The sequence below is a fragment of the Homo sapiens genome, chromosome 6 (assembly GCF_000001405.40).
Source record: "Homo sapiens chromosome 6, GRCh38.p14 Primary Assembly".
NCBI classification, from domain to species: Eukaryota; Metazoa; Chordata; class Mammalia; order Primates; family Hominidae; genus Homo; species Homo sapiens.
This window is the reverse complement of record NC_000006.12, coordinates 127,099,358-127,126,350: the sequence shown is the minus strand read 5'-3', so window position 1 is coordinate 127,126,350 and position 26,993 is coordinate 127,099,358. Positions and strand designations below refer to the sequence as shown.

General features: G+C 40.9%; 1 protein-coding gene and 1 long non-coding RNA gene across 9 annotated transcripts in view; one reads left to right on the top strand and one right to left on the bottom strand.

Annotated features, from left to right (window-relative positions):
- Positions 1 to 7,680, bottom strand: part of RSPO3 (R-spondin 3) — an 80,811-nt gene extending 73,131 nt beyond the window's left edge. For both annotated transcript variants that reach the window (NM_032784.5, XM_017011378.1), the window contains exon 1: positions 7,062 to 7,680. In NM_032784.5, the coding sequence (NP_116173.2) occupies positions 7,062 to 7,158 (97 nt within the window). In that variant the 5' untranslated portion in view covers positions 7,159 to 7,680. The remainder of the gene's footprint in view (positions 1 to 7,061) is intronic.
- The window catches only part of LOC105377989 (uncharacterized), a 347,578-nt gene that overhangs the window by 86,494 nt on the left and 234,091 nt on the right, over positions 1 to 26,993 (top strand). Inside the window, exon 4 of one of the 7 annotated variants that reach the window (XR_002956387.2) lies at positions 4,615 to 7,450. The exons of the other annotated variants lie outside the window; for them this stretch is intronic. This is a non-coding gene — a long non-coding RNA (uncharacterized LOC105377989). The remainder of the gene's footprint in view (positions 1 to 4,614; positions 7,451 to 26,993) is intronic. 7 annotated transcript variants of the gene reach the window in all.

Below are 26,993 nucleotides of genomic sequence, written 5' to 3'. Positions count from 1 at the left end.
TCACAGCACACATTTTTTACACCCCCGTATCAGTAGGAGAGCACACACTTTTGATAATAATAAACATCATTTTTATGTGAGTGACTCTGAAGTACTTGTGTTCAGCCCTAATACTCTAATCCCAGGTGTTTTGAGTTTTGAGTTCCTAAACGTCCTACTGGCTCCTCAAAAGAGAAACAGATTTCCAACAAGACCTGCTTCTCCTATTTTTCTTTTTGTTGATCGTCATCATTTTTCCATTCACCCAGACCTGAGTCCTTATACTCCAAAGTTTATTGCCAAATATGGGCCTCCATCTCTTTCCCTTTCATATGCAATTAATTGCCAAGAACTACTGATTTGATTAAAAGAAATTATCTGCTGTATATACTCTTTTGTGCAGTCATTCACTGTTGTAGCCTAGGGCCTTATTTTCTTAAACCTGGACTATTGTAAATCATCTCTTCCTCATAATTACAGGCCACCTCTGAAAGCCTGCCATGCTAGGGAAGCTCTGAAGTGACCCTTGAGTCAGTATTCTGATCCAGCTCCCTAACCCTGAGCCTAAGGACAAGATGGGGTAGACTGAGTATGCTGATTGTTGCTGTGACTATGGTTTTCAGACAATAAAAAATGTGAATTATGAGGTATATCATAATTAATTCATTATCCACATTGATCACTTACTCGTTAACCTTTATGTGATAAATTTACTTATAATCAATGAATGTTTATGTTTGTTTGTACTCAATCTTTATCTGTTAAATTTAGTTGAATAAGACAAGTTATTATTTAACTCCCTAGTTGTGACTTATATTCTCATACCAAAAGATTAAATGTTGAGGAAACCGTAGGGATCACTAGATCTAAGTTTTTGATCAACCTCCTCATTTTGCAGATGAAAAACTTTAGCTTGGTATAGTAAAAGGACTTTCTTGGGTTATTCAGGCATTAGCAGCAATGCTGGATCTGGAACCCAGGTCTTTAACTTCTGAGTCTACCTTCTCCCAACATACACTAAGGAGCCTTCTTTCTCAGGTCTCAGATTCTACCACAAACTTATGATACTTGCAATTAATTAAATTCTAAAGGTCAGATGAAACATTAATAAGGCGGTGTTTTGAAGAGTAGATTAGATGTTTGCATAAAACATAAGGACAGTTAAAAGCCATTAAATATTTATTTAATTGGACAATCATATTCTTTAGTACCAATGAATTTTCTCTAAAAAAATTCAAGAAAAATTTTAGCTACAGCAGATAGCACCTAGGTCCCTTGCCAAGTGACAAATAAAGCAGAAATGCTCTTATCAGATAAGAGGCACCTGCAACCCTGTTTTTTAAAAATAAAATTTAAAAATTATTCAAACAGTTCAAATGTGAAAAGAATTCAGGTATTTTGCTTAAAAGATCCATGTTATTGAAACTTTAGAGCAGAAAATGGGATTCTTAGCAATCAATGACATTTAGATATTTAGCATTCTCAGCACCCCCACAGTCTTTGAGAATGGAACACCCCATTCTTTTCAGTATTGCTGGATGACTACTTTAATCAGAATGCCAGTAATATTCCTGAATGGAAAGATCTGATGGGCAGAATTGAAGAAACAGAAAAGATGGCTAGCATCTTTTACATATGTATATGCTGTACTTCATGTGTTTAGTTATGGTTGCAAAGCATTTCAAATTTACTAGGTTGTCAGATATTAAATTTTAAGATATTCAATCATGTGAAACCCTGAGAAAAATCTCTAATTAAGAAAGCAATCTACATTTGCCCTTAAAATCAAAGGCCAAGCAAAAAAAAAAACTGTGCAATTTATGATGCAACATTTTTTCAAATTATTATTTTCAAAAAAAAAATGCCAGCACATAATGCACTGTTAGAAGAAATAGTCCTAACCAAGTCAAACATAATTTCAACACACTGTCTTGCATGATCCTTACTGTGCTCTTAAAACTGAATGATGTTTTCCTAATGGTAACCAAAGTTTTTTCTTACATTTCATGAAACACAATATCCACTCTGATGGCATTTCAAGAATTCACTACTTGGAAAATAATTTTTTTGGGGTGGGGATGGGATATGTGAGTGAATAGTGAAGAAGTAGGAAGAGAGAGATCAAGATATGTCCAAAATGAAACATTGGGATGGAGACAAAGGGGAAAAGACAATTTGGCAAATCAGTATATCTAGAATAGTTTTATTTTTTCATAGCTCATTCTTATAATTGCAGAGGTGTATTTTGGTCTTAACTCTACATAGGGCTCTGAAAACTCTACATAGTACTCTGCCAACATTGCATAGGATTCAAAAGAATTATTACAACTAAAAAAAGATTAACCATTGAACTAGAAAATATTTTAGACATTTAGTAGCAATCTGGAGATCTCTGTCCAGATTCAAATAATCTAAAATAATCAGATGTCTAATAAATTCATTTTGGAGCAATGCAGCAAGGGTTTCCCCATAATAACTGGAAAATAAAATTTTACTACACGTTGTAATTTCCATTCATTGCTTTCTGGGGACCTAATTTGTACAATATTAAATGCCAGGGAATTATTTAATGGAGAAATGACTTAGTAAAGCTTATCTATTTGCAAGTTCAAATACTCTTCATATTTCATGTTTAAAGGAATATTGAAATAACAACATTAAATCAGTTTCATACTCATTCTTACATTCTCATTACTTGAGTAACTTGGGGCTAAAAAGAAGGTATTTTAAAATTACCATTTCTAACGTTCTTGTTAAAATCCTTCTATTAAAGTAATAAACGGAATTAAAATAGTGTCACCATGGGATATTTTGAGAAACAACCCTGATAATGTAATGATGATTAAATTTGAGTTCACAAAGATGTTTTTCCTTGCATTTAGATGTTGCCACTACCGCATATGAATTTGCATTTGTCTTGATTTATACAGCTGTTACACGACGTATCAAAGAATACACTTTCTTCAGCAAATTCTATTCGTGTCTGTATCTTTAAAACACTGTTACTCTCAAAAATAAGGCAGACTGGTGAGAAACGTAGACAAGTGTGAAAAATACATTGTAGTCAATATCCAAACCAAACTTTCATTTGAAATTAATATTACAAAATGTATAGTAGAATTAAAGATTTTTCTATTTTATCAGTTAACTTGTTATTTTCCAGGATTCACAACATAATCACAAAGGGTGTGTCATAATTTCAAAGACTGGCTCAACATCTGAAACAATGTCATGAGCAATGACCAGTACATTCCAATAGTCTGTTTTTATTTTATTACCATGAAAATTATTTCCTTTTTATTCTTTCTCTCTTTCTTCAGACGTCTTTATGAAAGACTTGCGAAGTTTTATAGATTGTGCAATGAGTGCTTTTAAATTATTATGCATATAATGGCTTTTCAAAACTTGCATTTATCTAGAGTCTGAACAATTAAAACCGAGCTACTAGATGGCATCAAATAAAAAGGATGCTAAATGCCATCTGATGTTTCTAACAATAACCTTCTGGCACAGAATAATCCCATAGTATCTCCTAGATAATCAAATGATATATTCCGTTTAGAAAACTTTACTATTAGGTATTTAATTCTTTGACATTGATCACCATTATATAAAATAATGAGTTCAAAAATTTCCAGTCAAGGAGAACAGTTTATTCTCTAAACCTATTGAATAAATGATGGCCTTGAGACCATCTAATTTATTACTTAATAAACCTGATATCTTCTCTATGACCAGAATATAGAATAAAGGTGTACATAACTGTGAGATTCATGGCAGGAGACAAGTTCCACTTGCTAGATATATGGCATTATGTAGGTTACTGAGCCTCTAGTTCTCAGGCCTTTTCTTTCTAAGATGGGAAGATAAGTACCTGCTTCTTCACTTCAGTGGCTATTTCAGGGCCCAAGCAACTAATCCACGTGAAAATGTGAGGCCCCACTAAGATTCTGTGGCTATCATTATGGCAAAAAAAAAGTGCTTCTTAATGTTATTAGCACACAATCTGGAATTCAAAGGTTGAGTCATTTTTAAGAGCTGTATACCAATTCAAATAGATAAAAATTTATTGTGTATTTATTCACCCATAACTAAATAGACATTTTAAAGTACAAGGGTCTTGTCTTAAAACATTGTTTCTTTTATGAGAAGAAACACTAGTTTGTAATAACTAGGATCACTAGTTTATATCAAAGTAGAGACAAATGGAATTACAGTTGTTTTAGGGAAACAGGAGAATACTGATATGGCTTTATTTGCTATTTCTGAGGATAATGCATGATTCTTTGGACATGACAATATTTAACACTTCAAATGAATGTTCTTGTTTACAAAAAAGTTTCCTACTAAATCAAGAGAGACCATTAAATTTTTTGTAGAAGTTTTTAACACCTAATTTTCTACCTGTCATATCTTTATTGATGATTTTAAGCTTAGGAAATTGAAACTATATAACTACAGGCCAGAAGACTCCTTAAATATTCACTTAATTGTCTCTTGAAGAAACAATTAGGATAGCCAGCCTCTTTTGAAAACACGTTTGACCACATGTTTTCATTTTAAAAACTTTTCCTAGTCCTTACTTGAGAAACAGGAACTGTGAATTGAATCTTTTTGTTCGTTTTTTTCCCCCAGAGATTTCAAAACAAACGGTATATCTGAGTTTGTGCACATGCAGTTTGACCTTGAGTTTCTGGGCATTTAAAGAGGACCTCTCTACCCTCCACTCCTTCCTCCTTAAGTCATACTGCACCTGCCAAGAGTCTAGTCTGTCTCCTCCGAGGACGCAAGGGGTCGCCCCTCTACCAGGATTGCACCAGCAAACCAAGCCGCAAACGCAGACTCAAGTGCGAAGGAGCAAGAGCATCGCTGTGGGTGCTGTCTCCCAGTCCCACTCCCACAGAAAAATTGGAATTGCAACCCAGTTCCACTATTCCTTCTTTCATCCCCTCAACACAAACAGAGGTCTCCTTTGACTTGGCCTTGAGATGATTAAGGCAGGTCGAAAAGCAGTTTGCCTTTTGACTCCTCTCGGCCCAACCTAGAGGTGCATCATCCCACAGCTCCCTGAGGCAGCGCCCGGGGAAAGCTTCCTGCGCCGTGGTCCTCGCTGGGGGAGGTGGGCACAAAAGGACTACAAGCTTTCTTTCCTGTGTCTTCCTTCAGAATCAGGGGCCCCAAAACTGCAAAGCGAGACGCCTCTGACACTCAGTACCCTGTCCCTCCTTGACAAGTGTGTGGCTCCCAGCCCGGGGGTCCTCGGTGGGGGTAAAGGAGAGAGCGTGCTCTGGGACGCCCAATGGGCACGGGCTGGAAGAGCGGATGGAAAGCAGAGTGGGTTGCGCTCCAGCCCGGGCTCCCTATGCCCACTGACCCTGAGACTCAATTCCCCAGGCCAGACCCTGGGAGGAGAGGAGGCGGGGACCGCCAGGCGCGTGGACACCGCTGAACCCCAGGCCTCCCCTTCCGCGTCCGGGCCGGAATGAAAGAGTGGGTGGGGAGTTACCAGAGTACACACCATTCGGAGGCCAAGAATAATAAATCGGATGCCCTGACATATTTAGTTTGGGCTCTCCTGCCCCCTGCTAGGTGATCCTAAAGGCGGTGAGGCCCGGCCAGGGCCCCTGTCGCTCTGGCACTGCCACCTTTTTAAAAGGCAATTTTCAGGTGAATCAAACCTTGTCTGGCCGAGGCCAGCAATACAAAGGGAGCTTTCAGGGGACCCTCATGCCCAGGGGCAGGGCAGGGACAAACAGCGGCCGAGAAGCGATTACTAAATTTCCATCTCACACAAGCCGGTGTTGTGTCCTCCGCGCTGCCCCGACGTCTGCCCCGAAAGGCTTCCCGGGCGGGACGCTGGGAGAGGGATCCCCTTGGGAAACCAGGTGGGGCCGCTGGGCCTGGGCTGCACGCCGCGGAGGTGCGAGAGCCCAGAGCAGCAGCATCGCTTCCTGCCCCTCGCGAGCTCCAGGAGAAGTTTCCTCCTCCCTCTCTCCACCAGCGCCCCCAACCATAGAGCCAGGGTCGCCCCTGCTCTGAGATCTGCGAAAGGACTCCCCATGGGAACACAGACACTAGAGCAGCGAGGGCGCCAGGCTACCCTGGAGCGAGGAGAGGTGACACCTTCGCATCTGTCCCTTCATCTTGGGAAGATTCTACCTTTCAGACAGACCAACCCAGGTTGAGGCTGCCGTGGTGGTGTCCGCTTAATTCCAGCTAGGACACCGTCTTAAGAAGCCATCACAATCCAACCCTCCAAATAACAGCATTAAGGGCAGCGAGGAGGCGAATCTTTAGGGAGACCCCACTCTCTGTACGTGTGTGTCCCAGGGGACACACTTGAAAGGGCCAGAGATGGTACAGACGCTCACATGTGACAAGAGAGAACCTGGAAACTCCGCACCTCCGGCTCCCCACAGCTGGGGTTTTGCTGTCTTCAACCCTCGGGCGGGGGACGTCCGGCAGCTCTGCAAACGCGCAGACACGCGAACCCCATCGCCTCGCGCGCCCTTTGGCTCCGCTGGTGCGTGTCGGGGATGCGGCCGCGCAGGCGCTCGCTCCCTGGCTTCCTGGCCGGGTAGCGGGCGTTCGGCTACCGGAGTCCAGCCTAAGGGCCCAGCCGAGGTCTCCCCGCGCGAGGCGGTTGCGCTAGGTGAGCGGGTACCGCGGCCGCGCCTCCCTTGTCATTTACTCAGCGGTCAGAGGCATCCTGCGTCTGGGAGTCCCAAGTGCCTTCGGCTGGGTGCCCCTGTCCGATCCTCAAAAGGAAAGCACAAATCCCGGGTGCGAGTCTAACCCAGGACCGAACTTTCCCGCGAACCTGAAGTTACCATGGGGCGGGAGCCACCTTAGCGCCGCGTCCGCCCGCCCCTCGCACCGGCTAGGATGCTGCGGAAGGCAGGGGCGCCGAGAGGCAAGGGTGAAAGACGCCGTCCATACCCCCAAAGCCCGAACCTGCATCTCCTCTGCGAGGCGCAGGGCGGGAGGACCGCTGCAGTTGGGAGCCGGCTCCGGACAGGCAAAGCGACCCGACAGGTGAACGCGGCGGGAGGGAGCAAACGCGTAAAAAACCCTGCACTTACTTCTTCGCTGGCGCCTTCCCCGGGAGGCGTTTTGGCTGCCGATGTATTCCATAAAGTTCAAAATGATAAAAAGCCAAGAAATCAGTCGCAAGTGCATAGTAACCCAGTAATGCTTCCCTTCCTTTCTCCTCTTTCTTTTGATTGTTAATTATATTTAATGTTTTTAAAATATATGTAGGTGTTAGGCGTATATAGACAGTGCCCGAGCAGCGGGACTTCTCCTCTCACATCCGATAGGCGTGCTGTGATGGCAAGCGAAGTGGGGCGGGTGGACAGGGAAACCAACTATTGTACTTTCAAATTATCCAAGCACTGAACTGCGGCGGCTTCGCTGGGGTGGCTGGCATCGCCGCGAACCGGGGTTCCAGGAGCCGCCGGGGCGGCCGCAGGTAGCATGTTGTGCGGCAACTGCCGCAGGCGGGATCCGGGCGGGCGAGCGGCGGCGGCGGCGGCTGCAGCGGCGGCCCCTTGGGCTCAGAAGCTGCGGCGGCTGCGGCTGCAGCGGCGGGGGCCCCTGGAGCGCAGGGGAGCGGGCGCCGTCGGCACAGCGGCCATGGCCAAGGGGCGGCGGAGAGACCCCGAGCTGCTTCTGGCGTGCGCGAGCAGGAGACGCTCCAGTGTTGGGCTGGGCTCCCGGGAGCACCACATAGGGGAGGAGGAGGAGGAGGGCAGGGAGGGGGGAGGGAGAGGAGGGCAGGGAGGGGGAGAGGAGGGGGGATGGCTGTGGGGGGCGGGGGGGAGCTCGGGGGCGGGGAAGGAAACTGCTGGAGCAACAACCCTGAGCGACCTCAATAACTTTCAATTTCAAGAGGGAAAGAGGGAGCTGGAAAAGTACAGGCGTTGCGCTTTGGCAGAGGGACGGGAAGAGGCGCCTAAGGGGTCCCGGGTCTACAGCGCAGCATCTCTGGACACTGCAGTGACGGCCGGAGAATTCCAGCCAGAAGAATGGGGAAAGCAGTGCGTGCGAAGAGCCCCTCCAGAAGGGCAGCTCTGGCGGGGAGACTTGGGCGCACTGGGGCTGGCAGGCAGTGTTGAGGCCGAAGACCCCCCACCCATCCCAGTTCGGCTCCTCTCCGCGGCCTCAAGCTAGGCGCACCCGGCTGTCGGTGGCCGTGCGCCCCTGCGCCCTTGTGCCCCAGCGCCCCCACCCCATCCCCAGCGCCGGCGCGCAACTACCCTCTCCCCCTTGGCAGATCGCTGGAGAGTTTCTGGCTGCTGACTTGTTCCCGGCTTTCCTGACCTTCTCCTCTGTTGCCTTTCTCCCTTTTTCTTTTTCTCTCTCTTTCTTTCTTTCTTTCTTTCTTTCTTTCTTTCTTTCTTTCTTTCTTTCTTTCTTTCTTTCTTTCTTTCTTTCTCTTTCTTTCTTTTCTTTCTTTCTTCCTTCCTCTTTCTTTGTCTTTCTTTCTTTCTTTCCTTCCTTCCTTCCTTCCTTCCTTCCTTCCTTCCTTCCTTCTTCTTTCTTTCTTTCTTTCCTTTCTTTCTTTCTTTTCGGCTGCAGTTGGTCGCCAGGCGGGTGGTGGGGAGGAAACTCTGTGGGTGCTGCCGGTCAGCTACTCTGAGGTTTACCTGCTCCGAGCGGGGAGGACCCAGAAGTGTGTGCGCTCAGGACCTTCCCGTTGGAAATGCAGCTGTGCTACGGCTTTCTTCCAAACCAAGGCTTTTCTGTGGCTTTGGAAGATTCCTTTCCCGCTCAGGCAATTCCCTCTATAGTCAGCTCGCCCCCCTTGGAGTTTTCTCTCCCACCCTCGGTCTCCCAGTGTTCTTGAGAGGATCTGTTGTACATTCTAATCTCGCATCTGGAAGACTGGGAATAAGATTTGGAAAGATTTTCCCAGTCTTGGGGAAGGAAGGGGAAGGTCCACTACTTTCTTATCTTCCCAGCCCAAGTGGAGGCCCAAGGCAGCAGAGAGTAAGATGCTCTGGCCCACCCAGGGATGGGAGAACAGAGGGCCGGCACCCCTGAGTGGGGCACACCCTGGCTGTCGTTAGTAAATGGTGAGCTTTCCACGTCTTTTCTCCGGTAGCACCAGCCGATGAACTTTTCAGTAATTACTGAAGAAGTATTTAGTCGAAAGTCACAAGCCTCAAGTGATTTTAACATAAGCCTGCCCTATGTATTATATTTAACAGAATATCTGAAGGACTACACTAGCACTACAGGTTAACACAGCAGCAAACTTCTGGGAGGTCACTTTGAAAGAGTCCCTGATTCATAGGTGCTTTGCTAATTTTTGTGCTCAAATAATTCAGTGTAAGTCAATTGCTAAAGCCTTGCAGAGTAGCAAGTGACACTTGCACTTCTATCTCCTTCCTCCATTTGTAATCCCTATTACTGGATTGCCTTCAATTTATGTAAATTAGGTAAATTTACATGAATTAGAGCATTTTGTAAGTTTGCAATGCTGTGAATTGTATGTCTCTGGAGTCCTTTAGTGGTATATTTGTTATACATCCCAAAAGTAGGATAGAGGCGATAAAGTGGCCTGGATGCAAAAGGAAGGGAACTTGAAATATGCATTATTTTCAAGATGCTAAAAATTAGAATCTGAGAGATGGCCTTTTGATGTTAATTCTTTAATTAAATATCATTTATTATTTTGCATGCTCGTGTTGGAATTTCGAAAGTAGGCATAGTCTCCTTTAGGTTTGATATTATGAGGAAGATGACACCTCAACAGGATTATGATTTTTGCCTTCTTTTTAAGAGCTCCCATTTACAACATCCCTCTTTCAGTGGTAGAACTTTTTCTGTACATTGTATGCACATGTGTGTGCACACCCCCACACACAGACTTTCCATCCTTTATCTGTTGCAAAGTGTCTACTTATAAATGACTGAGTTTATCACTTTGAACCAGCGAAGTTACAGATAACAAGACAATTCCAATAATGATTATCCAAAAAAGAAGCCACTCTATTTTACTGTGCCTGTCCCCATCTGCTTTGCTTTCCTTCTTGCTAATACCTCAAATCCTGAATATCTGCACCATAAAACATGGGGGATTTAAAGACTATGGGAGGCTCCCTTTGAAAAGGACTCCAGAGACAGCCTTTCTAATCTGGGATACTTGAGCCGGATGGGATGAGATTGCAAAAGGGATGTGAAAAAGCTATTTGATGAACAACTTCAGGGAAATAAACATGAAGAAAGACATTTACTTTTCACTGTGCATTGTGCAGACACATGTTAGTTTGGATGAGAACAGGAATGGCAGTGTAAGTAAATAAACAAACCAAATGAGAAGCTACAGTTCTTGAGCCATCCCAGAAAAGAAGTGCTAGATGCAGTGGGAAGGAAAAGCTTGTCAAGGAATAAGCTCTGCTCAGAGGAAACATAAGGAAAACATTAAATAAACGAGGAGAGTATTCTTTCTCTCTTGATGCTGTGCTTTAGAATAACTTTTTCCTGATCCATATTACCGTCATATTAAATGTGTGTTTACTTGCCTGGCTGAGTTTTACGTTCCCTCAACTGTCTTAGAAGCTTATGAAAAGCATGCCATGGCATATTTTCTAAAACATAGTACCTTTTTTTTTTTCTTCAAACAAGAAAACAACACTCACAGTAGCCTGTGGCTGCCAGTGGATTTCAGAGCTCAAGCCTAAAGAAAGTTAAAAACCATAGGCTCAGCATAGAGGTCAACATTTGCTTATTTTTCTCCAAAACACATTAGTTCCAGGGAGTTTTGGATAACCAGGAGACTGGGAGACTTGGGCCAGGAGAATAGAATAGCTTTGAACAAAGATAGGAGGCTAAGCATATCCCGACTAGATACTGCAACTTCTCATCTCTCCTTCCACTTATTCCAACCAGGCAGTGACAACAGTAACAAGTTATTTTTATCCATTGCAGCAGTGGCACTCTAAGGAAAGAAAATGATTGTCATATTGTTGAATCCATACTGCAAATATGTGAAAGGGGGTGTGCTCCAGAAAGAGAGAGCAAGCCCAATAGTTTGGAAAGGGATATAACTAGTAGTGATGAGAGATGTTTGGCAAAGTTGGGGCTGACATCAGTCATTATACCACAGAGCGAATATGCAGATTCTGAAAATGCACAGCTCTCCAGTTACTCAGATCTGGATGCATCTGAGTCAGTAAGTCAAACAGGGTACTGCTGGTGGGATGTGTGTAACTGATGCAGCTAGAAGTCATCCCTGAAATACAGAGTGGGTAGCAGCATTTAAACACCATTGAAATTAGTAGATGATGGAAAACTATTTTTAGAGAGAGAAAGAAAGGAGACAGAATTATTGTAGCAATTTAAAAAGTGATTATATGGTTATATAGCATTAAGAAAATGAGAAAATCAAGACCCATGATGGATTACTTTCTGTCAACAAGAAAGAATGTTCTTCCTCCCAGATGAAGTTATGGGACATTTATGTAATTGTGGCAAGCACCATCTGGTATATGCCTAAGTTTAAAACTTATTTCACAAATCAATTGATTGCTGGGCTCACTTAAAATGTGAATATCCAATAGTACTCAATATAAAGAATTTAACAGCTCAGAAAATTTTGCATGATCATGGAGCTTTAGTACAAAGAGGCTGTATGTTGTAGTAAGAGGGCACTAAATTGTGAATCTGGGGATCAAGGTGAGTCCTTGTTTTCTACTTATATTGTTGTGTGTCAGGTTTCTTCATCTGAAAAATGAGGAAATTGAACTAAACCATTTCCAAAGTTCCTTTCAGCTCTGACAATAATGTAACTATTTCTAAGAAAGAAAGACAGACTTGTAATTGCAAATGTCAGAGCTATTTCTAGTTGTGTGACATCACAGCTTTTACTTACAGAATTGTGTTTAATTGAATAGGTCCAGATTTAGAAATCTGCTTTCAAACTTGTTGATTTTCTGGAAATGCCTAACCCATTACAAGAATCCTAGATGACTCTGGCCCAGCAAAGATAAATCCAGGACAAGTTCAATCTGTCTAGATGTCTGCAGACTTTGGGACAACCAGAAAGAACAAATTATAAACTCGAGATTCTAGGCAGAGTCCTACAGAGAGCAGGAAAAAGGACTTCTGCATCTCATAAAGAGAGCACTCATTTAGACCTGTTTGTAGGAATCACAGATGAGGGAGGAATGTGGATCTCACTAAGAGCCATTCTTTTTATCTTTATGTTATTACTTTCTTTTTTGGAATAAAAAGTTGGAAATAAAAGTCACATTTTATTTTTCCTATTCTTATCTTTGGATGAGGATTTATATCCATGTACCCTTCATCCCAGGAACCTCTTCTGAAGTTCAACAGTGAAGGTTGAGTGGTTGTGGTCACAGATTTAGGTTGAAGGGTTACTATCAAAGACATGAAAGTATAAGTTGTAGGCTGGGCACGGTAGCTCACGCCTGTAATTCCAGCACTTTGGGAGGCTGCGGTGGGCAGATCACGAGGTTAGGAGATTGAGACCATCCTGGCTAACACAGTGAAACCCCATCCCTACTAAAAATACAAAAAATTAGCCGGGTGTGGTGGCACGTGCCTGTAGTCCCAGCTACTTGGGAAGCTGAGGCAGGAGAATCGCTTGAACCCGGGAGGTGGAGGTTGCAGTGACCCAAGATTGCGCCACTGCACTCCAGCCTGGGCAACAGAGCGAGACTCTTTCTCAAAAAAAAAAAAAAAAGTATAAGATGTAGAGTGCTAGATGAGGGATAATACCAATGAGTAATTTTTGCAGCTTCTTTTACATGTATTATCTCAAAACATTGTCTCATAGATGAGACAACCGAATCCAGAAAGATAAAGTCACTTGCTTAAGCTTATAAGATTCTGGCTGTTTTGTATTACCCCAAAGTCTATTTTCTCTGTCCTCTCTGTCCCCCAAGAAGTTGACTTCCATAAACTAAATAACCAGAGCTCCTTTCCTCTGCTTTCCAGTTGAGTTCAGGCCTAGCCAGGGGTACCTGTGGGTGATCAGATCATGGGAAGGAAAAGTGATGCCACTCCTTCCCTGCTTTGGCATCATTTGCCACATCCTTCAGGAGACTACAGCCCTGTCATGCAGTCCTTTTTCTGTGGCTCTAGCACTCAAGTAGGTTTCAGAATCACCATTTACCCTCCTTGACTCCTCGGGCTTAGGGATAGAAATGGCTTCCCCCTCTTTTTAGTTCCTTGGTGCCTCAACATCTCCTCTTGATTTCTTCAACCCTGTCTGCACTATAGAAAATGGCCATTTTATAAAAATGTCTTTCAAAAATTCTTGCTGGGTCCCTAAGTGACACAAAAGTGTCAGTGCTTGGACTTGTGACCAAGTTGTCTGATTTAATGCCAGTGCCCTTCCTACTATGTCGTCCTGCCTTTCCAGAGGAATGCACTCTGATTAAAACTAAGTTGCATGAAGGGAGAGGGCCAGGGTATGTTACAAGCCAGGAAGGCTTATAAAGTAAGGAAGTGGGCACACAACAAACATCAGAGCAAGGTCATGGGCTAAATCGCCATGAATAACTAGAATCAGAATGGCAAAGAGCAAAGCAAAGTTCATGTTTAAAATTATAGCCAGGCAATCAGAAACAAGAAGTCACAGGAAAAGAAAGAACAAGGGAGTCAAGAAACAGCAGCAGCAAAAGCTGACATTGATCTTAAAGCATGGTTTGACTAAGTCACTTTTTACTTATTTTTTCCTGTTAGGTCCAAAACGAGCCTTGCACAATCCACAGTGAGTAAGGGTAGTTTATTGGAAAGCATACTGAAAGATGGCAGCTAACGTCAATGTGCCATCCATTCATCCCATGAATATTTGTTGATGGTGCCTACTATGGGTAACTCCAGGCTACACACTGAAGCAGAGTTTTGTGCATGGCCTTTAAGGCAAGAACAGTGAAGGAATTATATTAGGGGTTCTATTGGTGCTCAGATGAAAAGCAATGCTATGGTTTATGACAGAAATGAACTGGACACACCCAGCAACAAGCTTTAGGAAGTACCTCTTCAAAGCTGCCATATTCATAAACAAAACAGAATGAAAACCTCTCTCCACCTATATATGTACTATCAGTTATGGTTTATATTTGTTACTGCTGGTGCCACTTTGGGTAGCTACTTTTGGCTGTCTGGCTACTTTTATTTCAGCACTCACTGAACATGTGGCAAGCACCATGCTAGGCCCAAGAGATACAAAACTAGGGACACTAGGCCCCTGCCCTCAAGGTGAATACCCTCAGTGAGGGAAGCAGGCACATAAGCCATGTGGTAACTGCTGTGTCATAAGGGCTCTGTGGTGTGTTGTGGGGAAGGGAAGAGGAACAATACTTGGGGGGCAGTGATAGTGGTGAGGAAAGAGATAAATTCTGTGTCTAAGATAATACAGCTTTTAAAGAACGAATGGTGAATCTTAATGGGGATAAGGAAGGATTCCTTCTTTTGCTTAGGCTGGCCCTGATTCAGAGGTAGGGGGGCAAGCCCCTTTTCTGCCTTGCTTTGAGGAGGTCAGTGGTCATGGTTGGCTACATGTTTGCTAGGGAGGTAGCCAGACTCGAAGAGCGGCATCAGGCCTCCTCCTCTTCCAGCAATTCCTGTGGCTCAGTGGTGATCCTGTGGGAGTGTGGTTCACGGCTGATACCTGTGTGGGGGTTTGTGTGGGTTAATGATTTGACTGGTTTACTGTAGTGAGAATGTGGACAGATTCCTCTCATGTGAGAAAGATGACATTTCATTTCCCCTGTTCCTACAAGTGTTTGAAAATGTTTAGAGTAACTACCAAAGAAATCAGGGTTGGTCTTCGTAAGTGTCTGGCTGTTCCCATTCTCTTGCCCCAACTCCATGCCCAAGCACTCTCTATACATTCTGGTATTCCTTTGTAACATGCTCTCCCCAGACAGTGTTTTGTGCACCCATCCTTATCAAAAATCCCCTGCTGAGGCTCATCCCTTCTGCTTTCCAGCTCTCCCCACCCTAAAAGTTCCCTATTCTGAAATCTAATCCTTGCTTACTCACTAGTGATAAAGGGCTGGTTTAGCTCTGCCCTTCTCTCCTTCTCTTCACCCCATATAATCTTTTCTTCCCAGAAACATATTTTGATTTCACTTTGGCCTGTGGGGTATGTCACAGGTGTAGGCGGTTTCAAGCCATTATGAAAAAGCTCCAGGTGCCTGGTGGTCATGATATTTTTCCAATTTGGCAGGTGGTATTCTATATTTGTAGATAAGATTGCCTCACTGAGAAGTATTCTGCAAGAAGATAGAGGAGAACAAAGGACTTTCTTTCCATGGAGCTTGTATCAGTTACGTATTGCTGTATAATGAACCACTTCTAAACTTAGTGGCTTAAACTATCAACTATTTATGGCTTCTCACAATTTTGTGTGTTGACTGACTCTCCTGCTGGTCTCTCCTGGGCTCTCTCATATGCTACATCCAGCTGTCAGGTCAGCTGACACAGCAGAGATAGCAGGCCTCTCTTCCCAGGTAGTATTACATCTCAAGAGCGTGGAGCTCTCTGGGTTCCAGAAGTGTGAGAGAGGAAGTTGCAAGGCCCCTTGGAAGCCCTACAAGCGTCACTTCTACTGCAGTTTTTTGACCAAAGCAAGTCAAAAGACCAGCCTAGATTCCAGAATTTACCCAATAGACTTTATCTTTTGATAGGAGGAACTGCAAAGAATTGTAGGCTATTTTAAATCCACCCCAGAGCTAATGGGCAGGTTATTAACCTCTGTATAAAGCCAAATGTGGAGCTCTTTGGCCAGTCAGAAAGTTGATACCTAATTGAAGCAAGAAAGCAAAACTGAGGTTTACCATATACCCTATCTGACCACCTATACAGAGTGTCTGGTTCTAGATCAGTTCTTTCTCTGAATTGAGTTTTAATTCTATACTTGAAGCCTCACAAAATCAAAGCAGTACAAAGGTCCAGGCCATTGGTGGGACAAATTTTCAGCTTTGGGTACATAAATAAGAAGCAATTATGGTTTGGAACTCAGAGAAAAATCTTTTCAATGTTCTCATTTTGGGGGAAGTCACAAGTGTTTTTCTTCAGCCTGTTATTTCCTTCCCTTTTCTCTTGTCTTAAGAGCTAGGATAGTATTACTTAAGGTTTGTGAATATAATATAGACATCTTCTCATTGAAAAGAATCCTGTGAAAATGCCTCCTTACCAGGAGGCCTTCCTTTTGTCTACTAAAAATGGCAGCAGAACTTATCATTTTAGTGCATAGAAACATGAAGCACTATCTCATTAAATTCCATAATTCTGAGATTTAATGACATGAGGTACAATCATTTTGCCCTACAACATAGATTTACCTTAAGTGTTTAGGAAAGGAGGCAATTTAACTAATGGATTTATTTCCTCATTGTGACTTGATTCTCTGATTTAGTTAGGAATGATATATTGGGTTTTCATGAGTTTTTGGTGAATTTTCACCATTATGATCATAAGAATCAATACTTTTTTAAAGTAACATTGTAAGTTATATACAATATGGTGTCTTTTGTGTTTTTAAAAAAATACACTGTACTATGGTTCGAATGTGCTCTCTGCCAAATTTATATATTGAAACTTAATCTCTAATGTGATTGTATTTTTTAGAGGTAGGGCCTTTGGGGAGGTGATTAAGTAATGAAGGCTCCACTCTTATAAATTGGATTCATGCCCTTATAAAAGTGGCTCCAGGAAGCTCCCTTTGCCCATTGTTCCATGTGAAGACATAGCAAGGAGGTGCCATCTTTGAAGCAGAGAGCAAGCTCTCAGCAGACAATGACTCTGCTGACACCTTGATCTTGGACTTCCCAGCCTCCAGAACTGTAACAAATACATTTATGTTGTTTTATAAATTACTCAATCTAAAGTATTTTGTTGTGGCAGCCCAAAAGAACTGGTATACTAGATATTCAAGGACAGCCTGGTTTCTAATAGACAACTAATGCCTTGAGGATTTCTTCTTCAAATAATTATGTTTGTATGTGTAGCTTGCTTTCCCTCTGTTCATGTACATTTGTATTTTTCCTCTACTTATTTTTTAGCATTGTTAAAATTATTCACATCGTTATGTATACTACTTGAAATCATCACAATTAGAAATTTATTTTAAATGCAAATATTCCCAAGAAAGTTAAGAATGGGTGAATTATTTTAGTTAGATTGTTTCCTTCTGAACACATCTCTGAAATTTGACAAGGAGAGAGGGTCTGACCTGTTCAGGGGCATTATGAAGTGTGAGTATGAGGGAGACCTGTGTCTGATAAGGACACCGAGTAACTAAGGGAGGTGGAAAAGTGAGTGCAGAAGCAGAAGCTGCAAGAAAAAGCAGCAGCAAAAGGAGCTGTGTGAGTGTGCTAGGGATGAACTTAGTAAAAGGATGCACTTAGTTTTCTAGAGATAGTTTTATGAAGTATTAAGAAAAATCTACATTTGACACATTATGGCAACCTCCTAAACATAGGAGGAGATTGCATAAAATATTATACATAAATTGTTCTCAAAACAATGACATAAATTCACCTGATATTTGACATGAGATAGGAAGGAAGAAAAATTACCCAGAACATGCCCCAAAGATGGAAAGTGGGTGAGTATATATTATGGAATGCAAGGATGTGGGGCAAAATGCATATAGTTTCTTTTTACTCATTTTCTTTGAAAAATTAACTGTTTTCAAAATTGCTCCTATACGCATACCTGTTAGTGAGGACTGTATGAAAGTATTTTCTCTGCATGACCATCTTCTAAATGCCTCTTTGAGAGAAACTTCAGTGACAACATAGACACGTTTGATTGGATACTAGTACTTATGTTACCTTCTTTTTAAAAGAGTAACCACCTAATAAAAATGTTTTATTTAATATATAGCCCTGAAGTTTAATATTCTAGATTGATTAATTTGCAGGTGTTCGTTTTTAAAATGTTAAGTGGACATATTTTTCATTCACTGAAAATTATGTTGCCTTACAGTTATTCTCTACCTATTGAATCAAGGTCATTCATTGTTTGGGGTAAGGGGAGATAACTCCTAGACCACAATTTCACTATTGTGCTTTGAGTCTCAGAGCTGCCTTCCTTGAATCCCCAGTAGTTAGTCTTGCCATGGATTTGCTGAGAGAAAGAGATTTCTAAACTCCAAGTTTCCTTTATATATACCAGCAAAGTTTTGGTTCCAAATATGCAGTTTCACTGAAAGCCACAGTGTAGTGAGGAATCAGGACTGTAAAAAGTGTCCTTGTCAGAAGGAAGAGGAAGTGAAGAACCTTTCTGGAACTGGAGGAAAGAGTGGGAGTGTTGGGCAAAGAAATCAGACTCTAGTCTACTCTTGACAATTGATCATTCATAGAAGGAGTAGAATTATTATGCACCTTTAGGGCCTTGTGTAAAGTGTTCACAGAGAACTAATAATCAAAGGTAGAAGATGAACTAAAATCACCCCTGTGCTGGTAGAAACTAATGTAATTGTTCAAAGGCAGATCTGCCAGGGGCCAGAGACATCTTGCACAACTGTCAAGTATGGGTGAAAAGTGCTCAAAAAAGTTTTCCCTGCAGTGTTGGCCCTGGCATGGCATTGTGTGGTAGCCATGGGGCTGTTCAGCAAATCGTTCTGTCTCTCCTCAATCTGTTTTCTGGACACGTGTAGAGATTGCATTTCCATGCCTCTCCTTGTCACTTTTTTTTTTTGAGATGGAGTCTTGCTCTGTTGCCCAGGCTGGAGTGCAATGGCACAATCTCGGCTCACTGCAACCTCTGCCTCCCAGGTTCAAGTGATTCTCCTGCCTCAGTCTCCCGAGTAGCTGGGATTACAGGCACGCACCACCGCACCCAGCTAATTTTTGTATTTTTAGTAGAGACAGAGTTTCACCTTGTTCCCCAGGCTGGTCTTGAACTCCTGACCTCAGGTGATACACCTGCCTCGTCCTTCCAAAGTGCCTGTTACTTTTAAAGTTAGGCATGGGATGTATAAATGGAAATAAATGAGAGAGAAGTGACATTAGTCACTTGAAGATAAAAGTTTGAAGAGCCAGGGTTGAGTTTACCACATTCTTTTTCTAGTGCTATCGTGATCATAGAAGCATAAGACAGAGTGAAGCCTTTGTCAGACAAGGTCCTTGAGTGACTATGAACAGCCCCCTCGCTCCCTGCCTGTTGCTGACCTATGCTAGACACAGCATGAACGAGAAACACAACTTTGTAGTTATCGGGCCACTGAGATTTCCCTTAAGTCAGCTTCCATATATTTCAGTCAGAATAGTCCCTTGTCTATATAAATCAGGACACGTGTGCAGAAGGAGAATAAAGAGACAAATAAACAATTTCCACCGAAATACCAAAGCAGGAAATAATGGATAATTTACAGAGTAAGTTCAATAGATCCTTATTGATAGTGGGCAAAAGTGAATGAAAAATGGAGCAGCCGAGTCCACTGCAATAAGATATATTTGCTGTTGCTGAATTCATAGATATTTAAAAGTTAAATACAGAATGAATTACTTTATGTCCATTGTTGAAGAATGATTATCTTTAACACCAAGTTGAGAAACATATAGAACTTGAAGGGTCCTTGACAAATCAGTTAATCTTTCACACTTGGCAAATATTTCAGTCTGAGGCCACAACTCCTTTCTTCCGAAGTGCACTTTATTGATGTGATCTTGGCACTCTGGACCACTGGCTCAAAGGGGTTTCAGAATCCTTTATGTAAAGGGCTGCATGCAGTCGCTGTCAATGGATGGGAACTGGAATATAGTAGAGAAATCTGTTTGCCCCCTGAACCTGAGGTAGGAGAACATTTAAAGCATCCTTGAGAGACAAAGATGTATACTCTTTGTAAAGACTTTTTAGGGAAAGAATTTTCCCTCTTCTTTAGAAGCTTTCAAAAAGGTAGAACAAATTTTATTTCACAAAATATTTTATTTCCCTCTAATGGCAGTTTATGGCAGCATAAGTTTTCTGTACTGAAGTAAAATTTCAAAAGTAAATTGGAATCTTTGTCTAGAAACTGGAAAAACTTTTGATTTTTAAGAAAAAAAATCTAGTTTAATTGACTTATGAAATTCATAGAATTCTAGATCTGGATGTACTCTCAGAGATCGTTAGTATACATTATTTTATTTTGACTGAGACCTGAAAGATTAAGTGACATGCCCAAGGCACTACTGGCAATGCTGAGACTAAAACCCACTCCTCCTCATTACTAGGATTATATTTTATTGCACCACCATTCTGAATGCTGTTTTGTTCAGCGTTCAGTGTTTAATCAGTCATTCTACTTTAGAAATCCATATCCTTGTTTCGTACCAATGGAATCTGAGAACAACTCATTTATTCACCAATTCATTCATTCATTTACTCACATTAATTTAGCATTCCCTTGGTGCCTATCTTCTTTGGACATTGTCCTTAATCCTCATTGTTATTTCAGACTAAGAACACTTGATAAAGTTTAAAACAATTGTGAATGTATCCATTTCGTAGGGCAAAACACTTTAATTCTGATTCTTTTAATAATTCTTCTTTGACTTTCATATACTTCTTATTGCAAAGTTTAGGGTCAAGTAAGTTCTGAATGTAATAGAAAGAAGACATAATTTTTCTGCATTTATTTTGATTAAAAAACCTATATTTATTATTATAACTAGAGAACTCCTTATGGATTTGTTATACAAACTGACCCTAGGTTTTTTTTTCAGTCATACTTAAGGAAAAAAATAAACTGCTTAAAGTAATAAGGCAATGCATTTATATATTATCCTATATTGGCACTGCTGAAATTTATTCATTTCTTTCCAGATTGATGCAATGTATAAAAATCCCTTGGATTCTACTCCAACACTGCCATCAGTGAGCATGCTGAGTACCTACTATGTGGGCAGTAAACATAAATGTGTTAAATGTAGTGAGAATAACACCAAAGAAATAAAGGACCCAGGTCTCCAGGAGCACATAACTAAGTCATGAAGAAGACCTAAAGAAATATATTAGTAACAAAAATGCTATTCTATTTATGCCTTTATTACCAAAAAGGAATCACTCTTAAACTACCAAGAAAAGAGAAGAACTAAGTCAGTTTAGTTAAAATACCAGTCTTTGAAGACTTGAGTCAGGTAAGCCAGGTTTTGAAGCAAGTCTAAATCTGATAGAGATATAGGGAAAGAGCAATTAATATAGGGAGGCATTACTATTTAAGGAAAGGCTTGGGTAAGAAGTCTTCCTCTCTCTTTTGAGTGACCTCTCTCAATTGAATGACCCACTCTCTGCTTAGGTTCCTTCAGAAGGTTCAGCTTCACATTCAGCAGCATTTCCTGAGACCTCGTGTTCCAGGCCCTGTGCAAGGCACTGTGGCATGTTATCACATTTGTTTAACCAGTAGCTCTTCCCTCTAGATAGGTTGGCAGGTTATTCTCAACCTTTTCTTCCATGCTGTGCATCTTATTCACCCCTGGAATCTAAAATACATAAATAGTGTGTGTGTGTGTGTGTGTGTGTGTGTGTGTGTGTGTGGTGGGGAGGGAGGGTGAGTGAGTGATCAGTAGCTTTAGCTCTGTCTCCATTCCCCAAAATATTCACTTCAATAGGCCTTGCTACTTATAGGTAGTCCAGAGAGCAGAAGCACAGAGATCATCTGGGAGCTTGTTAGAAATGCAGAACATCAGGCCGGGTGCGGTGGCTCACGCCTGTAATCCCAGCACTTTGGGAGGCCGAGGTGGGTGGATCACCTGAGGTCAGGAGTTCGAGACCAGCCTGACCAACATGGAGAAACCCCGTCTCTACTAAAAAATACAAAAATTAGCCAGGAGTGGTGGCGCATGCCTGTAATCCCAGCTACTCGGGAGGCTGAGGCAGGAGAATTGCTTGAACCCAGGAGGCAAAGGTTGCAGTGAGCCGAGATCGTGCCATGGTGCTCCAGCCTGGGCAACCACAGTGAAACTCTGTCTCAAAAAAAAAAAAAAAAAAAGAAATGCAGAACATTAGGCCCCACCTCGGACCTGCTAATCACAATCTACTCAATCATTTTAACCATTATTTATCCAGGTGACTGAATGCATATTAAAGTTTGAGAACCCTTCATGATATAATCATATGAAAGAGCTTTTAACAGGACTATTGAGTAGGCTCAATTTCAACACAATTAAGTCAGAAAGTCTAGTGACTGGGGTATCTGTGTGGTTTAAACACTCTCCAGGAGATTATAGTGTGCACCCAAGGTTGGGGCACACTGCTCTGCTCTTTCCCAAAATGACATATAGATAAAAATTTCACAAATCCCTTGTAAACAAAGTAGATTTCAGAGTCTAGATTCAGAACCTATAGAATCAGAAATCATAATTTCCAGAAAAGAAAGCTGTTCATCTGTATATTTAACAAGCAACTCAGGCTCTATTTCTTTCATCTGGTGACCTTGTGGGAACTCATTTTTTCCTGTGTCCTTACATCCTTCACCAAAGGACAAGAGGCAGTGGAGTCACAAAGTAGGGAGACAAACATGGAAAGGAAAGAAATAATGTGAGATGAGAAATAGATTCCAAAATATCCAATAGGGTGGGGGCAGAGGTGGAGGTGGGACTCAAATCAGCCTGAATCCCTTTGTCACTATCAAGAGCCACTGCTGCACTTAGATGAGTGAATGATTCCCAACAACTGTAAATCTCTTTGTTTGAGAAAGGACTGATGTTGAAAGGGCACATTTCAGAGACGATAACCATGGTTTGGGGGAAGAGAGAGATCAAATCAGAATGGGTAACTTGACTGAGAGTCTTCTGGTTCATTACAAAGGGAATGAGTCAGTATTCTGTAGGACTGTGGGAAGCTGTCCTTTGGATTCTTTCTTTGCTTATGTGATTCTCAGTTTGAGGAATACCAATTTCGAGAATGTGTAGTCTCTCTACTGGTAAATGTAACACAAAAGTCAATAACACGTTTCTAATACTGGTATTGATTATAACACATTATAATGCATTATAATACATACTCATTGCATTTGTTCAATGTATCTGCTGTCTTGATATAGAGTACCGGGTTGGTTTGAGAAATTCTTTTTCATAAAATTATGTTAAGTTGTATTTCAAGAATTTTTTAAGACCATGCATTGATTTATAGAATTATTTATAGTTTTATTTATATTTTGCAGTAGGAGAAATACCATGTGTTTTAAATATCTACTTAAAAAAATACGCGGAGTACTCTACTAGGTGCTGCAGATAGAAAATAGAGGATAGAGCCTCCGCTTCTGAAGTGCTTAAAATTTATTTGGAGTCAGAGGTGTCAGAACTTATATGCACAAAAAAATTAGTAACAATGGAGCAGAGGATATGTTGACAGACAAATGGGAGATTTGGATGGTAAGTGTTAAAGGAGTTGAGAGTGCTGTTATGCCTGTGGGCATTGTGCTTTGTGCTATCCCTAGAAAACTTGCCAGTGTGAACTAAGAGACTATTTTTGTATTTCATTACCAATTCTCACTGTAAAACTTTAATGATTATTTAACTTCTCTGAATAATAGCTGAATGCAAATGCAATTAAAAAACATATTTTTTTGAATTTCCTTTGATGCTAAACTTAAAGGAAGTTTAGAGACACAATAAGTTATCCTTTCTAGTTTGAATATCTAGAGGAATTAAAAGACCCTAAGGTAATTCGCTTTTGTAATATGGACCCAAACTGGATATTTGGTTGATAACTATTTTCTTGCCTTCTCATTCTAGCAAGGGGTTGTGATTTCCCAACAAAGACAGAGAGTTGCAAAACAGCAGGACTTTGCTAGAGTTAGTAATTAATTAGGTGCTAAAAGTACCAGAGGCTCTGAGACACAGTGTGTGACTCAAAGGGATAAGAAGCACCCAGAATTTCAAACAAGTGTCACTTAAATAAACAGAAAGTCAAGTGAGTCCTGTCTGTGGAATGGGAAATGGTCAATTGACATCAGGAGCCACTATGCAACTGTGTAATACAACGTTATAAGGATTAGTCACGATATTTTGCAACTTGTGCATGACTGGAGGTTTTTTTCTCAGTTCTGTAGAAGGTGAGCAATTATCTGCCTGGTAGAATTCACAGAAGTCAAAATGAACTCTTAATGCACCATAGTGTTCAAATAAATAACCAGTCCTTCAGAGGTTCCCACCAGCTGACTTTCCTCTACCCCTTTAATGTATATTAATCAATCAAGTTAATTATTAATATTAGTAGACAAGCCAAAGCACTTTACTAATCAACTAATAGCTGGGGACCCAAGGCCAAGCAAGAGCTTTCATGACTGGGAGGAACATTCCAGAGAGAAAATTATATAAGTGGTCATTTTGTCTAAAAGGAAATGTGTTTCTCCTATGGAGTAGAAGAATTCCTGCATAAATACAGATAAGTGTTAAGGTGTTATTCAACTTAAGATTTTATGGTTTCTTTCCCATATTATTTCCAAGTTTCTTTATGTAACTATTTAAATTTTGAAGTGGTAGGTACTAAACACTGTAATAGGGTCTATCAACATAAGATAGTGGAAGATCATCAGAGCTCACAAATAGATCTATAGGTAAACATTATGTGTGTGTGTGTGTGTGTATGTGTATGTGCGTATGTTTTTTAAAATGTGGGTTCCCTGCAAGAATGGGAAAGGAGAAAAAAGATCTGATGTAACTTGATTATCCTCGAGTGAGTATTATTCCTATGAGGGATTTCATGAACATTTTTTATTATAATTAATATATGGTACAGAATGCTTCAGTGTAACATTGAGAACATTTTTGTTATGTTGAATAAGTCTGCCTGAGGTTGAAAATGCAAAACATGTAAAACAACTCTTAAATGTATTCAAGTTTTAAGAGTTTAGAAGAATTAAGCAACTCTCTGATTTTGCGCTTTTTTTTGCAATATAAAATTAATACATGTATGTCTTGCCATAAAGAAACATGTAACTTGCATATTTGCAAGTGAATATGTGTTCGTCAGAGACATGAGAGGCCAAATTTCATTGAATTTGGTTAGTAAACTTTAAATTGTAGACATAAATGTTTCATGACAGGTTTATTTGATTTGATGGCATGTATTAAATGCTAATTCATTAAAACATTATCTGATTCATACTAAAAAAGCTATTACTGCAAATTTGGAATTTTTTTACTTTATATTACAGAACCAGTAGTTAATTACTTTCCTTTAGAGATCTCTGGTCCTGGCACTAGTAGATGAATGAGTTGGAGTTACAAATCAGTAGTTGACTTAGCAGAAACATTTTAGCTGTGTCCATTAATAAAGACTGAATATTGTTTTTTCTTTTTTTTCTTTTTAAGACAACTTGTAGTTTTTTTTTTTTTTTTTTTTTTGGAGGTTGGGACAGATAGTTTCGTAGCATGAATGCTCCACATTTTAAAATGTGTATTGAGAAAGAATTTACTGGATCAAGTCTTTCCCATCAACATACTCTAGAGGGAGTCAAATCTAAGAAAGTTATGTTTAATGCATTTCAAGTGCTGTTGGTTTTTTAAAAATAACTTCCTCTTCTTGGTGACAATCTGTTTTGGCCCTCTTAGTTAATAAGGATGCAGTCCAGGAATTGGTTAGAACCGGGATCTAATGAGGCCAAGGTAGAGACTGATTCCATGTGTGAACCATTTAGCCACTTACAGAGAAAATACCCCTTCCCTTGGTCACAGACTGCTTGGGTCAGCATGTGAACCAATGCATACTTAGGCATGAATAGGGAGAGAGTGAAAGGTAGGATGTGGAGTAAAAGAGTATTTACAGGCCAGGAAAAACTACTCCTTCCCGAATGGAATAATAAACTGCAATATGGGTCTCAATAATGCCATTAGTTAGCTGTGTGAACTTGGAAACACCTCTTAACCTCTTTGAAATTCAGTTTTTCAATTGTACTAAAACGGAATTTTGAGCTAGAAGGTCTCAGGTCTAAGTTTTATGATATTATTTCGATAGAAGAAAGTTTATGGTTTGTATAAAAGTGTATCTTGAAGATCTGGGTATGAGCCAGTAGCTCCTGTAGAAATCTTGGAAGTCTGGGCTGGGCGCGATGGCTCACGCCTGTAATCTCAGCACCTTGGGAGGCCTAGACAGGTAGATCACCTGAGGTTGGGAGTTCGAGACCAGCCTGACCAAAATGGAGAAACCCTGTCTCTACTAAAAATACAAAATTAGCTGGGCATACCTGCCTGTAATCCCAGCTACTCAGGAAGCTGAGGCAGGAGAATTGCTTGAATCTAGGAGGCAGAGGTTGTGGTGAGCCAAGATCTCGCCATTGCATTCCAGCCTGGGCAACAAGAGTGAAACTCCATCTCAAAAAAAAAATAAAAATCTTGGAAGTCTAGCATTTTGTTTTTAATATACTTTTGTTCTAAATATTCTTGTATCATGCACAACTGGATTACATGTACTTCTGCCATATATCTCCTGTACTTTTTAAAACGTTTGTTCCTTTTATTGCACTATTTCTTTCACTTGATGTTTACTGAGCTTCTATTTACAGTTATAGAAACCTCACATGCTCTTTAGACGCAACTCAGCTGATGTGAACTCCATGAAACACTCCTTGTCCCTTCTTAACACTATAAGAATGATTTCTACTTTCTCTGAACTTCACTCAAATTTTGCTGTTACTTTTCTTTTGGCACTATCACTTTCTGCCTTACCTTATAGTTGTTTCTGGAACATGTCTTACTTGTCAATGAAACTCAAACTCCTTAAGTAGGTGTAGAGATCAAGGGATCTAAACTTTACATTCTCCATTTTAAGCAATGGGATTTGCTAATAGTAAATATTCAACACAAATCTGCTGACAAAAATCAATAAAAGAATGCTGCTTAAAATATCTAGTTTTTGAAAAATTATTTAAATAGACATGTAGTTCATTTTAATGAGACCATCAATTGCAGTTCCTCAGACTTTATAGTTCTTATGTTTGTGAGGAGACACTTTTAGCAAATTTTCTTTTTAGGAAGGGAGGGAGGAAAAATGCTTGGTATTATTTCTTTCTAACTTGTACATGCAAACTAATTTTAAGA